The sequence below is a fragment of the Homo sapiens genome, chromosome 1 (genome assembly GCF_000001405.40).
Source record: "Homo sapiens chromosome 1, GRCh38.p14 Primary Assembly".
Taxonomy (NCBI): Eukaryota; Metazoa; Chordata; class Mammalia; order Primates; family Hominidae; genus Homo; species Homo sapiens.
Window position 1 is genome coordinate 61,648,980 of NC_000001.11, and position 17,654 is coordinate 61,666,633.

Sequence of the window (17,654 nt, forward strand, 5' to 3'; positions counted from 1 at the left end):
GAGAAAGGTTATTTTACTGGGGAAAAAGACTAGAACTTTCGTGAAATAGTCAAAGGAATCCAATAAGCCTAAGTAGGTCAAGACTGTCTCGGGGAGAACAGTTAACCTACTTCAGATAGCCTGTGAATCACTTCATTCGTGACAAATAATTATGCCAATGGACTCCCAACACAAAAAACCTTGGGACTGAGTGAGCAGCAGTGGTTTCAGCCCTGCCTTTAAGTGGCATTTTTAGCATTTCCTTGCTGCTGCCTATCAATCCAGACCTATCCACGTTGTCAGGGTATCCTTAGCAGCTGATGGAGATGCCTCTTTCCAAAGGCAATTTACATGCACCAAAGTCCTTCCTCCTAATGATTTTCCAGTAGGGACAATTCCCTCTTGTTAGAATGTCCATTGTTTACATTTATCTGATCTTTTCTCACAATTTCCATTGAGCAGCAGTTGCTACAACCACCTGAGCATCAAATGGGCAATTAATTGGAACAGATTTAATAAATGTACTAGAGAAGGGAGCTGTATGTTTATGGACTACAGTCCTTTCATGGTCATGCATAATGGACCAGACACTTTTCCACCCAGCTGCTTATGCTACCACAGTGAACACAAAATTTACATACCTGGAAGAAAACAGCTTCTGAAACATTATTAATGAATGTAGCGAATTTGTCTGTTAGGATAAGCTATGGTATCTCCATGGCTTAACTTTGCACCATCCTATTCTTGGTTAAAAATATCTACAGTGTCTCCCCTTACTGTCTTCTTTCTAAAATATAATTTTATATTTTAATTGAAGTGGCCCTTTTTCAACCAAGAATCAGGGCGTTGTGAAAGAGCAATGTGCATTCCCCCTGTTTGAAAGCACAGGGAATGTTTAAAGTTTTTAGAATACAAAATAACTTTAGAGCGGAAACCTTAGCAACTAAACTATACTAGTAGGAGTGTAATGTTCAAAGAGGGGGACAATGGTCCCAATCCCCTCAGGGTTAGACACACCACATAAGAAATATTTGTATCCAGTACTTGATGCCACATCCTTCAAGGGATAACCATAGGCCCATGAGGCTGGTAGGTGCTCTCAAAGTGAAGGCAAATGGCAATGGCTAACATTCCATGGAGTTCTTGTTAAGTGCCAAGCACTGTCCATTTAATCTTCACAACTACCCCATAAATAAACAATTAGGGGCCGGGCGCAGTGGCTCACGCTTGTAATCCCAGCACTTTGGGAGGCTGAGGCGGGCGAATCACGAGGTCAGGAGTTTGAGACCAGCCTGGCCAACATGGTGAAACCCCGTCTCTACTAAAGATACAAAAAATTAGCTGGGCATAGTGGTGGGTGCCTATAATCCCAGCTACTTGGGAGGCTGGGGCAGGAGAATTGCTTGAACCTGTGAGGCGGAGGTTGCAGTGAGCCAAGATCATGCCACCGCACTCCAGACTGGGTGACAGAGCAAGACTCTGTCCCAAAAAAAAAAAAAAAAGAAGAAAAAAAAAGAAACTATTAGGTTGGTGCAAAAGTAATCGCAGTTTTGCCATTGAAATTAATGGCAAAAACCTCAATTACTTTTGCACCAAGTTAATATTATTATTATCCCCATTTTACAAATAAAGAAACTCAGGGTCATGCACATAGTAAGTGAAGGAACTCAGAGTGCCACTCAGTTCTGTCTGATTTCCATGGACCCTCAGTGTAAGCAGTTGGTATATTTTTAATTAATCTTGCTAGAGATAATTGGTAATTATGACACTGAAATCATTGCAACTGTGTTGTGTGTGCATTAGTCTTGTCTCACCAATCAGAATAAACACACTGTGAAGGCAGTGACCACATTAATTACACACGTTTACTTTCCAGGCTAAGCACAGAGCTGGACTTAAGCAGGTCTTTCTTACATCTTTTGCTGAATAAAATAACCCATTTTGAAATGCTTCAAAAACCAATTTACCCATGAGATTATTGAAGGTGTTGGGGGAAAGGACACTCTGGGGATATGAATCGTTAGGGACATTTTAGAGGACACTTTGTTCATAATTATCAAAATGTAAAATGTGTAAACCCCTTGACCCACAGTTATGTGTCTAGGAGTCTACTCAAACTATTCTATAGAAATGCTGATACATATATGCAAAAATAGATAGAACAATGTATAAAGATACATACATATATATGCAAAGGTATATAATATATATACACCTAAATACGTATATAAATATTCATATATTTCTTTTTTGTTACAGTTCTGTTTATTTTAGCAAAATAAGGAAGAAACAACTTAATTGCCCATCAGCAGGGGAATTGTTAAAAAATTAGGCTACAACCACACCTTACAATACAATATAGCCACTAAAATACTGGAGTAGATGTATTAGGTTAACCATATGAAACTGCCAATGTTTTACTGCTATTGACATAAATAACAATTTCATATGCTTCAACGTAATATATGTACAGATGTGAAAAGATTTATAAGAATATTGGTAGTTGAAAAAAGCAAGTTGCAGAACGGTACCTACAGTATGGCATATTTATGTTTAAGACATAAGACAAACCTATAGAGAATAAACAAGAAAGGTACTCACCAAAAAATTAAGATGGTTATTTCTGGGCATGGCAGTTTTCATATTTTACTCTATAAAGTTCTACATCGTTTTACTCCTTCGTGATGAAAATTTTTTATAATTCCTTGGCTGGGCGCTGTGGCTCATGCTTGTAATTCCAGCACTTTGGGGGGCCGAGGCAGGCAGATCACGAGGTCAGGAGATCGAGACCATCCTGGCCTACATGGTGAAACCGTGTCTCTACTAAAAATACAAAAATTAGCCGGCCTTGGTGGTGCATGCCTGTAATCCCAGCTACTCGGGAGGCTGAGGCAGCAGAATCGCTTGAACCAGGGAGTCAGAGGTTGCAGTGAGCTGAGATTGTGCCACTGCACTCCAGCCTGGTGACAGAGTGAGACTCTGTCTCAAAAAAAAAAAAAATGATACTTTTTAAAAAAAATTTGTTTAATACAACTGATTCCAAAGTATTTACATATTTTGTAAACATTATTTTTCTGATCTACAAGCTCCAAACTCTCAGGAACTCACCATGTTTCTTCACTGGGCCAGACAAGGAGAGTAATAAAGAATTAACCTTAATTATTCAAAGAAATCCAGATGGTGAGAAAAGAGTAAAAAGCAGAACTTCAACTTGGATTATCTCAAGACGATTGCCTGAAAATTTCCTGCTTATTTTTCCTGTTTAAACCTGGCTTTTCAGATGAATGTGAGGTGATCTGCTTTTCTGTGATTCAGAACTTCATAGAATTTGGCAGGCCAAGAATTACAAAGAAAGGAAGAAAATGAAAGGAGGAAAGTGAGGTAGTGAAAGAAGATGGGCAGAACTTGAGAAAGCTTTATAAAGTAACAGAACACACCCCACACCTTTTGGGAACAAAGGAACAAAGCTGATGGAACACAACAGATGTTCTCCTTCCCAAACCATAAAAGCATAACACTCTACAACTCCTCCTCACTCCAAGGAGTGGCCAATGCTCCTTACTGGAATATCTGTACAACAACGGTTTTTGTTGTTATTATTGTTTCCTTAGAACATGGATAAAAAGGAAAAAACACCATTACCAGAAACTGTCAAGTGTGGTTTAACTGTATTATCATTTTATCTTGATTCTTGTTTCTCCCTAACAAATTTCATTGAGGTATAGTTTACATACAACAACATGCACTCATTTTAATTGTACTCATCCATGAGCTTTGACAAAGCAATACACCTATGTCACCACCACTGTAATCAAGATATAGAACATTTCCAACATCCAAAAAGATTCCTTTGTGTCAACATGCTTTGTTCAGAGTGAAATTGAAAAAAAAAATTAAAATTAAACAAAAATGGCCAGGTATGGTGGCTATGCCTGTAATACCAGCACTTTGGGAGGCCCAGGCAGGCAGATCACTTGAGGCCAGGAGTTCGAGACAGCCTGGCCAACATGGAGAAACCTCATCTCTACTAAAAATACAAAAATTAGCTGGGTATGGTGGTGCACATCTGTAATCCCAGCTACTTGGGAGGCTGAGACACAAGAATCACTTGAACCCAGGAGGCAGAGGTTACAATGAGCCAAGACTGCACCACTGTGCTCCAGCCTGGGTGACAGAGCAAGACACCATCTCAAAACAAAACAAAAACAAAACCATTCCTTTGTGCTGGTCTATCCCCACTCACAACCCTAGCCCCTGGCAACCACTGGTTGGCTTTCTGTCACTCTAGATTAGATTTTTCTTTAGCATTTCATATAAGTAGAATCACATGGTATGAACTCTTCTGTATGTGACTTCTTTCACTCAGCATAATGTCGTCGAGATTCACCCATGTTGCTGTGTGCATTGATAGTTCACTCCTTTTTCTTGCTGAGTAGTATTCCACTGTGCGGCTAGGCCATGAGCACAGTTGATCCATTCGCCTATTGGTAAAACTTTGGTTGCTTCTAATCTTTGACTACTATGAGTAAAGCTGCTATCAGCATTCGTTTGACTCTTACTTTTGAAGTGAAATTCAAACCTAGCCGTTTTGGTGAGGCATGGAGATGAGAGATAAAACTAGCATTTTTAAGGCACCTACTAAGAGCTGGGTGCAGAAGATGAAAGACGAGGAAAGAGGGGAGCATTCTTTCCATCTCTAAAGAAAGCACAATAAGGATTGCCCTGGCCAGGCACGGTGGCTCAGGCCTGTAATCCCAGCACTTTGGGACACCGAGGTGGGCGGATCACCTGAGGTCAGGAGTTCGAGACCAGCCTGATCAATATGGTGAAACTCCGTTTCCACTAAAAATACAAAAATTAGCCAGGTGTGGTGGCGCTCCTGTAATCCCAGCTATTCGCGAGGCTGAGGCAGGAGAATCACTTAAACCCAGGAGGCGGAGGTTGTAGTGAACCGAGATCGGGCCATTGCACTCCAGGCTGGGCTACAAGATCGAGACTGTCTCAAAAAAAAAAAAACAAAAACAAAAACTTTCTAAAAATTGAGCAAGGAGCTGGAGTCTCCGGAAATGACTAAGGCCCGAAATATTAAATATTTCTGCTCATAGTTGAAGACAAAACCTTATCCAGCCTTGGCGGCTCCTTTCCCCCTCCCCCTTTATCAGGGACTTAGTTCATGATTAGGACTGCGGCATGGAGGGCGGCCTGGAGCGTGCTGTATTTGTGCTGACCTGGGCCTCCTGGCCTCGCTGCTGTCGCCGAGCTGCATGCTGGTCCTCAACGCCCGCAACGACGATGCGCTGCGGCAGCTGGAGGCCGAGCTGGGCGCCGGGCGGTCTGACTTGCGCGTCGTGCGGGTGCCCGCAGACCTGGGCGCCGAGGCTGGCTTGCAGCCCGCTGCTTGGGGCCTTGCGTCAGCTCCCCAGGACCGAGGAGCTGCAGCAACTGCTCTTCATCAACAACGCGGGCTCTCCTGGGGATGTGTCCAAAGGCTTCGTGGACCTGGGTGACTCCACTCAAGTGAACAAAGACTGGGCGCTGAACTTGACCTCCATGCTCTCTCTGCCGGACTTGCAGCGTCTCGAAGGCCTTACCAACCAGTCCTGGCCTCAACAGAACTGTGGTTAACATCTCAACCCTCTGTGCCCTGCAGCCCTTCAAAGGCTGAGCGCTGTGCTGTGCGGGAAAGGCTGCTGGTAACATTCTGTTGAGGTCCTGGCGTCGGAGGAACCTAATGTGAGGGTGCCGAATTAGGCCCCAGGTCCTGTGGACACAGACGTGTCCCGGAGGTTAGCCCGGTAGACCTCCATGGACCCAGACATGCGAAAAGGCTGCAGGAGCTGAAGGCAAAGGGAGAGCTGGTGGATTGCAGGGTGTCAGCCCAGAAACGGCTGAGCTCGCTGCAAAAGGGGGTGTTCAAGCCTGGAGCCCACGTGGACTTCTACTATAAATAAGCCCATGTCTTTGGCTTCCTGAACCTTTCTGCCCCCACTTTCAGACACACCCCCAGAGCCCCGTGGCTCCCCACACCCTGCCATGGTGGCAGTCCTGCCTTACACAGATAAACACTCATGTCTACTGTCCTACCTTCACACATAGCCTGCTGTGATGAGCTTCCAGGTCGCTGGCCTTACCAGTTGTCGAGAGTCTGGATGTGGCACCCTGGATTATGAGGAGGCTTAGGAGAGAGGTTATGGGTATTCATGTCTCTATCCCCAGGAATAGAATTTAAGGGATGGGAAGAGCAGGAAAAGAAGCTGAAACACACAAGAGAAGAGGTTGTGTCTCCTGCTCATAGCTAGTCCATGGGGAGAGGGAAGAGTGACCTGAGTCAAATAGGAGAACGCATGCAGATTCGCAGATGGCCTGGTAGGGAGGAAGAGCAGAGGGTACAAGTCCCCGCTCACACAGATGCCCCTTGCTGAGGGGAGCAGCAGCTTCTGTTGAACTTTGTGTCCTCACTCTGATGTCTACTTCCTCCAGAATCCACCACCCCTTCCCCAGGCTGGGAGAAGGGGCCGTTGGGTGTCTATGTACATGGCCAAGGCAGATACAAATAAAATTAAAAAAAAAAAAAAAAAAGGGAGAGGGTTACTTAACCTTTTCAGTTAAGGCAACATTGCTACCTTTCAAGGAGTGAGTGATTGAAGTCAAGAAAGAAGCCCTGCTTGGGATTAGAGAAACTGAAAAGAAATACGATGACTCATTAAAACAGTTTGAAAACTATAGAAAGGTCAACAATTTAATGCAAATATTAATTAAATGCCTAGAAAAAGAAAAGGGAGGCAAAAGTGAGTGAAGAAGAACATCTATTGCCCTTCATATGTGTCAACCACTGAGCTACGAGCTTTACCTATATGAATTGAATTGATTTTCATAACCCTATAAGGCAAGTACTATTTTTATCCCCATTTTACATATGAAGAAATCGTGCCACAGAGAAGTTTAATAACCTGCCCAAGGTAACACACAGTAGAGCAGTCAGGATTCCAATTCACTAACTACTGCTTTATCCTCTTCCTTGGCACTACATACCAGTGACTGCTGGGGCAACAAAAATGTAGAAAACATGGTCCCAGTCTTTGGAGGACTCATGGGGAAACACCATACAATATTCTGACTTTGGGAAAGTGACCTAATATTTCTAATTAAAATGGAAATTAATAACCCCTTTAATGTCCTCCTTACAAGGTTCATTTATTTATCCCATAAGTTCTTACTGAATATCTATTATGTGCCAGGCACAGTGCTGAAAGTTCCTCATGGAGCATATTTTCTAGAAAGAAGACAAGGCAATATTCATGTAAAAAATAGCCACCGGGCATGGTGGCTCATGCCTGTAATCCCAGCACTTTGGGAGGCCGAGGTGGGTGGATCACCTGAGGTCAGGAGTTCGAGACCAGCTTCACCAACATGGTGAAACCCCGTCTCTACTAAAAATACAAAATACAAAAATACAAAAAATTAGCCGGGCGTGGTGGTGCATGCCTGTAATCCCAGCTACTCGGGAGGCTGAGGCAGGAGAATGGCTTGAACCTGGGAGGCGGAGGTTGCAGTGAGCTGAGATCATGCCATTGCACTCCAGCCTGGACAACAAGAGCAAAACGCTGCCTCAAAAAAAAAAAAAGAGCCAGGCACATTGGCTCACGCCTGTAATCCCAGCACTTTGGGAGGCCAAGGCGGGTGGATCGCCTGAGATCAGGAGTTCGAGACCAGCCTGGCCAACATGGAGATACCCTGTCTCTACTAAAAATACAAAAAACAAACAAACAAAAAAAAATTAGCCAGGCATGGTGGCAGGCACCTGTAATCCTAGCTACTCGGGAGGCTGAGGCAGAAGAATCACTTGGACCCAGGAGGTGGAGGTTGCAGTGAGCTGAGATCATGCCATTGCACTCCAGCCTGGGCAACAAGAGGGAGACTTCGTCTCAAAAAAAAAGAAAAGAAAAAGAAAATAGATATATAAGTAAATGGGGGGAGAAAGAATGGGGGCAGAAAGAGAAGGAGGAAAGGAGAAAGGGAAAGAAGGAAGAAGTTATTTTTGGACAGTAACACGTGCTATGAGAAAAAGGAAACTGAGTGATGGGACGAAGGGCGATTTTAAGTTCAGAGGTGGTTGTTACTTTGCCTAAAAGCAGCCAGAGATGTTCTCTGTAAAGTGATGACTTCAAACTGATAACTGAACCATGAAAAGTAGCCAGCCATGTGCAGGTCTAGGGACAGTGAATTCCAGTTGGACAGAAAAGTAAGTGCAAAAATTGTGAGTCAGACAGGTCATCTTATATTTGTGGAAAAGAAGGCACCCAGCATGGCCAAAACATGATGACCAAGGGGGAGAGTAGGAGATAAAATCACAGAGGCAAGCAGGGACCAGATCATGAAGGAACTGGAATTAGATTTTTTTTGTAATCCCAATGAGAAGCTGTGAGGAAGGTTTTGAATAAGAAAGTGATGATTTTTTTTTTTTTTTTTTGACAGCGTTTCACTCTGTTGCACAGGCTGGAGTGCAGAGGCATGATCTTGGCTCACTGCAACCTCTGCCTCCCGGGTTCAAGCTATTCTCCTGCCTCAGCCTCCTGAGTAGCTGGGATTAGAGGCACCTGCCATCATGCCCAGCTAATTTTATGTATTTTTTGTATTTTTTTTAGTAGAGACGGGGTTTCACCATGTTGGCCAGGCTGGCCTCGAATTCCTGACCTCAGGTGATCCGCCTGCCTCAGCCTCCCAAAATGCTGGGATTACAGGCATGGGCCACTGCACCTGGCCAAAGTGATGATCTTATTTTCATATTTTATACACTTCCCTGGCTGCTCTGTAGAGAATGGATTTGGTGGGACTAGAGGGAAAGTGGGGAGAGCAGTAAGGAGGTGGTTGCAGGCTGGGCGCAGCGGCTTATACCTGTAATCTCAGCATTTTGGGAGGCTGAGGTTGTTGGATTACTTGAGCCCGGGAGTTCAAGGTCAGTCTGGGCAACGTAGTGAGACCCTATCTCTTCAGAAACTAAAAAAAGTAGTCAGGCGTGGTGGTGTGCATCTGTAGTCCTAGCTGCAAAGGGAGGCAAAGGTGGGAAGTTTGCTTGAGCCTGGGAGGTTGGGGCTGCAGTGAGCTGTGATTGTGCCACTGCACTCTAACCTGGGTGACAGAGAAAGACGTTGTCTCTAAAAAAAAAAAAACAAGAACAAACAACGACAACAAAGCAAGAAAGTAGTTGCATTAGGCTAGATAAGATGGTGGTGGCTTGGTTAATGGTAGTGACTATGAAGTGGAAACTAGTTATTGGAGTCAGGATTTATTCTGGAGGTGTAGCCCATACGACTTGCTAATGAATTGAGGAATTGAGAGGAATCAAGGGTAACTTTCAGAATTTCAGTTTGGGCAGCTGTTTGAATGGTGGACTCCTTAGATGACAATGGAAGGAGCATATTTGTGCTTAATTTTAGAATGAAAAAGCATTTGCAAATTATAAAATGCTCTCCAAAAGTATACTGACACTGAAGAAGTAGGCCACCATGAGTCTTATAGCTGCAAGGAACTGAATTTTGTCAACAATCTGAATAATCTTAAAAGTCGTCTTTCCCAGTCAAGCTTCCAGATGAGAATACAGCCCTGGCTACCTGATTGCAGTTTTGTGAAATCCTGAGCAGGGGTATCAAGTAATTTTGATGCAAATCTAAAAGGCAGGGACCAATTCAGTCCCAGCTGGCCCCAGTCGTATCTGGCTCCCCATTCTTGGTGGGCCATGAGCAGATTTTCCTTTAGGGAAAGGGAATTTGATGACTATGTGGCCCTCTCAGGAAAGGCTATTTGATGACAATAATCTTTGTCATTCTCTCTTGTTGACCCACCAAACCAGTCACAAATGCTGGGTTACTCTGTTCTTTTCTCAATCACCACATTTGATTTCGCTGAACTTGTAAAAATCTATTCAACCCAGGAAAATCTGCATCTACAAGGCTGGCATCTCTTCTCCTAGATAAGAAACAGTTCCCCCAAAACTGAGACCACAACTCCCACCTGCTTCTTGAAATCTTTCCAGACCACAGGACCCCAAGGCTGGGTGGGACCATGATGGTCACACAGTTAATTCTCCTGGCAGATGTCTGAATCCTCCACAGCCTATCTGCCATGGCCTCTTGCTTAAAACTTCCAAAAAGGAATTGTGGAGACAGATAAACCTAATTCTAAATTCTGACTCCATTTCCTGCTACCTGTGGATCATGTACAAGTTCCCTAACATCCTTGGGCCTTAGTTTTTTCATCTGTAAATGGGGGATAGTAATACCCTTACAGAGTTGTTTTGATCGATCTAAGTGAAGCACTAACTCTTGCTTCTCCCTGTCTCCCTCTAGTGATGAAAAACTCTAGCCCAGTTTTCTCTGATTTCTTTTACCTGTTAGTCTCGTTAACAACCATTTTTGACACCTAATAATATGCTATGTTTCATTGTTCTTCAATTGCTTTGTAAGCATGGGTCATGACCTCCCAAGAAGGCTGAAGATAAGCAGCCATATTTTATATTTCTTGGGGTCTCCCAAAGGATTTAGGTCAATCCAGGGCATGCAGCAAGCATACAGTGAAACAGTAAAACCTGCCAAATTAAATTAACAATCCATCATTATGAGAATAACTTAAAACTGGCTCTCCCAAATGAACTGTCATTTAATTGAAGTTTGTCATAAAAGGACTGCCTTTCTACCATATCCATTTTCAAGTTAAAAAATACTGAGTGCAAAGTCCTTTGCTTTTAAAAAGAAATATTTTCATGCACCTCACGTTTGCATTTGAAACAACCTCCTAACCAAACAAAAAAAAAAGAGAGAGAAAAGAAACTAAAAATGAAGCATCCTAAATTGCACAATTCCGGTGTTGTTTCCTATCCCTGAGACCAAGACATGCTGAACCTCAGGTTTGCCCCTTTCTTTTCTCATTTGCCTACCCATTTGTGTATCCAAGAGTTAAGATTTTAAAAGATTGATTTTTTTTTAAAGAAATGAATCCCAAATCTACATACGAACTGTAAGGTTCTCATTTCAAGTAGATACAGGTTACAGTATGTTTGACCATAAAAGCAGAAAGGCTAGGGTAAAGTGCTGTGAGGAATCTATTGGAAGAAATGGGATCAGATAGATGTGGCGCACTTCTCTTAAGTGCATATCACTTAACTGCATAATCAGCTTGTGCTCCTAAGAATTATGCAGTCTCTGTCTGGCCCCCATTAGATTGAATGTGTTGCTACTCCAGTTAATTGCATATCAGCAAATTGCATAATTCAACTATACGCACCCTGAACTGAGTTCCAAATGCCATCCAGGACAATGTAATCAAACTAGGGCAGTGAAGAGCTGGAATACTTATGAGATTCTGCCCATTTGTCACATTTGGTTTGGATGGTCTGTGCTGTGAAGAAGGCAAACCACTGGGCATAGACCTTGTGCCCTGGATTCCTGTATAACCTCTCCCCCACACCACAACCACTGCATGCAGTCCCCATCCCAGAACTAATTAAAATGAGTCCAAAAGAAAACAGGATGTCATCATACGGAAGTGTGATTAAAAAGTAAAAACTCTGACTCCTAACCATGGTGCTCTCCTTCCCAGGACTGACATTACTGATAAGGCAGACCAGAAAAAGCAGCAGCTATTTGGTTCTACCAAGAACTAGCTGAGCAAGTGTATTAGTCTGTTCTCACGCTGCTAATAAAGACATACCCAAGACTGGATTATTTATAAAAGAAAGAGGTTTAGGCCGGGTGCGGTGGCTCACGCCTGTAACCCCAGCACTTTGGGAGGCCAAGGCAGGCGGATCACGAAGTCAGGAGATTGAGACCATCCTGGCTAACATGGTGAAACCCCATTTCTACTAAAAAAATACAAAAAAATTAGCCGGGCGTAGTGGCGGGCGCCTGTAGTCCCAGCTACTTGGGAGGCTGAGGCAGGAGAATGGCGTGAACCCGGGAGGCAGAGTTTGCAGTGAGCCGAGATCGCACCACTGCACTCCAGCCTGGGTGATACAGTGAGACTCCGTCTCAAAAAAAAAAAAAAAAAGAGGTTTAATTGACTCACAGTTCCACATGGCTGGGGAGGCCTCAAAATCATGGTGGAAGGCAAAGGAGGAAGAAAGCCATGTCTTACATGGAGGCAGGCAAGAGAGGGTGTGCAGGGGGAACTGCCCTCTATAAAACCATCAGATCTCATGAGACTTATTCACTATCACAAGAACAGCATGGGAAATCCCACCTCCCACAGGGTCCCTCCAACGACACATGGGGATTATGGGAGCTGCAATTCAAGATGAGATTTGGGTGGGGACATAGCCAAATTATATCAGCAAGTCTTTTCGTCTCTCTAGGCCTTGGTTTTGTCTACCACATTAAGCTGTTATGAGGGTTAAATGCAACACTGCTTGATAACCTACAAATTAATGTAGAAACCTATTACGAGATGCAGCAGAGTGAGGATAATGTGCATTGTATCAAGGAATATAAAGAGTCCACCAAGCTGATAGAAACACTTCAGAAAAGATCTGGGCCACAGAAAGTGGTAAAATAGAAATGAAATGGAAGAAATGGTACTGACCCTGCGGCAAACTCTTCAAAGATTAGATATTGTCCTTGGTTTTGTTTCGGTTCTCACTCTGTAAAGATTCAGTGCTCTTTCTCATACACACATGCACACGTGTCCTTCAGTGGGATCCTCATTATGTTGCTTATTTAGCAGAAATGGCAGCACATACACATTATCCAGCAATAAGCTTAGGGGCTAGTTTTGAAGAAAAAAGTACCCACCATACAATGCTCAAAACTATCCAAATATCCCAAGGAAGATTTTGACATGCAGGTGCCTGCATCTTGGAATATGGAGGAAATGCTCAAATGCCAATTTGCGCTATTGGAATGCAGCCGAAAGACTTCAGTTTCCCACTGCTCTTTGCAGATTTCCTCTACAGGTGCTTTATTCTCAACTTGTGTCTATTAACACTAAGAGTCATATTTTTTAGACACCTTTCCTGCGTATATATTATTCTTCCTGAATCACCTGGAGGAGTATCTAAGTCACTAGCTGCCAAATTACAGAGTAGTTGACTGCTCATTTATTGGCTGCGGAACGGTGAAGAAGAGATGATTCCTAGTTCAGCCTCTAACTATATAATCCTGGGAAAGTTACTTAATCTCATTAAGTCTGGCTTTCCTTTTCCCACAAAATGGGGTCAATAATATAATCTACCTTCTAGGGCTTTTGCGAGGTTTCAGTGAGATCTCATATGCATAACATGAGGCACAATGCTGAGTTGTGTTACAATTTGCTAGCACAGAACTCACGTATTATCCAAGATGGACTAATATGAGTTATGCATCAACATTTTCACAGAATACTGAAATAATGTTTGTTTCAACAAAAATTTGTTTTTTGGGGGGTTTGGGGTTGTTTTGTTTTGTTTTTTTTGAGACGGAGCTTCACTCTTGTTGCCCAGGCTGGAGTGCAATGGCACGATCTCGGCTCACTGCAACCTCTGCCTCCCGGGTTGAAGCAATTCTCCTGCCTCAGCCTCCCGAGTAGCTGGGATTACAGGCATGCGCCACCACGCCCCACTAATTTTGTATTTTTAGTAGCAACGGGGTTTCTCTATGTTGGTTAGACTGGTCTCGAACTCCCAACCTCAGGTGATCCACCCACCTCAGCCTCCCAAAGTGTTGGGATTACAGGCGTGAGCCACCATGCCTGGCCCTTTATTTTATTTTATTTTATTTTATTTTATTTTATTTTATTTTATTTATTTATTTATTTATTTTGAGACAGAGTCTTGCTCTGTTACCTAGGCTAGAGTGCAATAGCACAATCATGGCTCACCGCAGCCTCAATCTCCAGGGCTCAAGCAATCCTCCCACCTCAGCCTCCCAAGTAGCTAGGATGACAGGCATGCACCAGTATGCCTAGCTGATTTTTTCTTTTTTTAATTTTTAGTAGTGATGAGGTCTGGCTATGTTGCCCTGGCTGGTCTCGAACTCCTGAGCTCGAGCGATCTGCCCACCTCGGCCTCCTAAAGTGCCAGGATTACAGGCATGAGCCACCTCATCCGGCCAAAATTTGCGATTTTAAGTCATTTAATCTGCATGTTGTTTTGGCTCACTTAAGTGCCTAATAAAGGGCTTTTATTTGGAAGGACAGCATCATGGTATAAAGCAAAATGTGGGCACAAATCATTCTAGAAAACTGGCAGGAAAAGAAGTGACTCAGTATTTCTGCTCTAATCAATATTATCAGGTGCAGCCGTATTTCACCATTGAAAGGACAATGATCGTGTGCCTGCAAGGAGCTTGCACAGAGAAGGAGCTTAAATTGAGTTTAATTAAGTGCTGGTTGACTTGAACTAAGGACAGAAATTCAACTGACCAATTGTTCCAAATGGAAGAGTCTATTATTTCTCAACAGGTGGATCAAAAACTGAACAAGAATGTTAGTCTAACATTCAAAATCTTCCAAAATCTGGCTCTTTTATGCATCACGATGCCCCTAGAACCCAGTACAGCGCCCCATAGATAATGTGTTCAGTGAATAATTGTTGAATAAGTGAATTAAGTAATGTCTCCAACCTTTGCTTCCAATCTTATCTTCCACTATGTCCCAGCATGAGACCTCCACTCATGGTTTCCTAAATACTAACTTATTCATTCCTACCTGCAAGCCTTTGCTCACAAGACTTCCCCACATGCTATGTTCACTCCTTCTTCCTTTATGCAAATTTGTCTCACTTTTTCTTTTCTTTTTTTTTTTTTTGAGACAGGGTTTCTCTCCCGCCGCCCAGGCTGGATTGCAGTGGTACGCTCTCGGCTCACCGCAACCTCCACCTCCTGGCCTCAAGCAATCCTCCTGCCTCAGCTTCCTGAGTAGCTGGGACTACAGGCACAAGCCACTACACCTGGCTAATTTTTGTATTTTTAGTAGAGACGGGGTTTCACCATGTTGGCCAGGCTGGTCTCGGACTCCTGACCTCAAGTGATCTGCCTGCCTCAGCTTCCCAAAGTGCTGGGATTACAGGCGTGAGCCACCATGCCCGGCCTGTCCCGCTTTTCAAGGTGTGATGGTTTTGAACTGTGTCAACTTGGTTAAGCTGGAACCACATTTTCCAGGATCTCTTTTCCTGTATGATTCCAGGTTTAAGTTGACCAAAAGAGAAATTTGCAAGAGTTCTGGAAAGAACCTCCTGATTAGATGTGGTGAGAGACATAAACAAAGGGGTTAACAAGTTCAAACTGGTCCTCGAATCTCAGTGTTCTGAGAGCAGCTCTCCTACCTGACTGCTGGCCCTGATGACCACACCAACTCCCCGCACCCATCACCAGATGCAGAGTCAACAACCTTCTATTGGCTTCTCCATCAGTTCTCTATGGTAGTCCCACCCCAGAGCTAGATACCTGTGGCTTCCCAGATTTCCCTTGCAAGCTCCCACTCATCCACCCATGGCAGTGTTTCTGATCATTGAAAGCATGGATGGCAGAAAAGAAAAGAAAAAAAATCTGTGTGTTTATTCCAATGGGTAGAAAGTAAATTTAAAAGTTTACTCTATTGGGTAGATGATGGCCAAAGTAAACCATTCTCCCTAATCCTTGCAATTACTCACATACAACCTCCATGCTAAAAAGAAATAAAAAGTAATAAGTAGCAATTTGATATCTGATCTTCCAGCTTTCCTTTCTCGACCTTGTTTCCCCAGATGCTTCCACAATTATGTAATATCTAATTGTTATAATCAGTTCCTCATTCATAACACTCATAGTGGTTCTGCTTACCTGATCAAACCTTGACTGATACACGAGGCTCAGTTCATGTAACTGCTATTCCTTGATCCCTTCTCTGACTATTCTAGAGCAATTTCTCTATGCTTCTTTGGTACAATGTGTTTGTGGCCCTCCACTGGCATTAGTCATATATTAGCTTGTACTGCATTTACATCGACATAGGCCTTCATGGTTCTAAGTGTATGGTTGGTATTTAGGAAGAGTTTAATGAATAAATGAAAATTTACACAGCCTATGTGTCACCATTCTCACACATAGCAAACATTATTTATTGATCCCACCTCTTATTCCCATGACGCTTGAGCTAAGCCTTACAATCCTTTTCAACACAGTGCTACAGATAGGCAGTTGGAAGTGGCATGGATGAGGAAACCAGTTTTTCATGCAGTTTCCGTAAGTCTGAGTATGAATTATACTTTTTAGGCAAATTAAATAGCGTCAAAGGTCATAGTGCATGTACAGATTGAAGCTCAGATGCTACTTCCCTTCCCTACTTCCCACTCTACTGCCCCTATTTTTCACATAGTAGATCCCCAATAAGTATTTGTTGAATGAGAGAATGTTAGTGTAACCTTCACAAATGAGCTGTGTGAGCTCTACAAGCCAAAGTGACTCAACGAAGTTCCAATCTTTTTTTTTTTTTTTTTTTTTTTTTTCTGAGATGTAGTCTTGCTCTTTTGCCCAAGCTGGAGTGTGGTGGCCCGATCTCAGCTCACTGCAACCTCTGCCTCCCAGGTTCAAGCAAGTCTACTGCCTCAGCCTCCCAAGTAGCTGGGACTACAGGCGTTAGCCACTACACCCGGCTAATTTTTGTATTTTTAGTAGAGACAGGGTTTCACCATGTTGGCCAGACTAGCCTCAAACTCTTGACCTCAGGTGATCCGCCCGCCTCAGCATCCCGAAGTGCTGAGGGATTACAAGCATGAGCCACTGCACCCAGCCCCCAGTCCCACCTTTTAAAATAATGAATAAGCAAAAGGCCAGATAGAGTGAGCCTCTTGCATTTTAAGAAGCCCATTCCAGCCATAACAGTCCTTTCTGAGCTAAAGAAGGCAAAGTACAAACACATCCAGGCCCCAACTAACAACAACCAAAATGTCACATGTTGTCAGGTACTTGGAAAGAGGGAAAACCTTTCTAGCTTTTTTCCTTCTGGTGTTATTAGCCCACTGCTTGGCAATGACATAGAAGGAAGACTGTGAAGAAGAAAAGAAGTTGGAGGGAAAGTTTGGATTCAAAGGAGCCAGGTAGAATTAGGTAGAAAATACAGGGTCTAGAGAAGGATATTTTTTGTTCATTTCTGAAAAAGGGACCCAAATAAGCACGATTGATTTGACACTTGGAAATACTATTTTTGGTTTTCTCTCTTTTCCTTAATTTTGCCCTATCAACCAAGACCCATATCTCTAAGAATTCTGTCAGGTACTTCCCATTCCTGTGTTCATTCTCTTATTTCCTATTCCTGTGAATAAAATCAGATGATGCCTCTGATAATCCTGGAAACTGATCACTGAAAGCATGGATGGCAGAAAAGTAAAGAAAAAAATCTGTGTGTTTATTCCAATGGCTAGAAAGTAAATTTAAAAGGTTACTCTATTGGGTAGATGATGTCCAAAGTAAACCATTCTCCCTAATGCTTGCAATTACTCACATACAACCTCCATGTTAAAAAGAAATAAAAAGCAATACTGGTCTTTCCTGTTCTCATTCTCACTTGAAAATTGTGTGTCTGGTTTCTGTTGGTTTCTCATTGGAAGAGAAATTTTAAGAATACCTCAATTCAATTGATGTGTACTCACATGCTGAAGTCTGGGGTATGCACAAGCTAACAAGAGCTATGCTAGGGTGGGGTGTGGTGGTTCACACCTGTAATGTCAGCAC

At 43.1% G+C, this 17,654-nt stretch overlaps 1 pseudogene across 1 annotated transcript; it reads left to right on the forward strand.

The window, feature by feature from the left end:
• Positions 1 to 5,262: 5,262 nt before the first annotated feature.
• On the forward strand, positions 5,263 to 7,149 carry MGC34796 (sepiapterin reductase (7,8-dihydrobiopterin:NADP+ oxidoreductase) pseudogene; annotated as a pseudogene). The gene has a single exon (NR_073400.1). The product of NR_073400.1 is annotated as a sepiapterin reductase (7,8-dihydrobiopterin:NADP+ oxidoreductase) pseudogene (transcript).
• Positions 7,150 to 17,654: the final 10,505 nt, after the last annotated feature.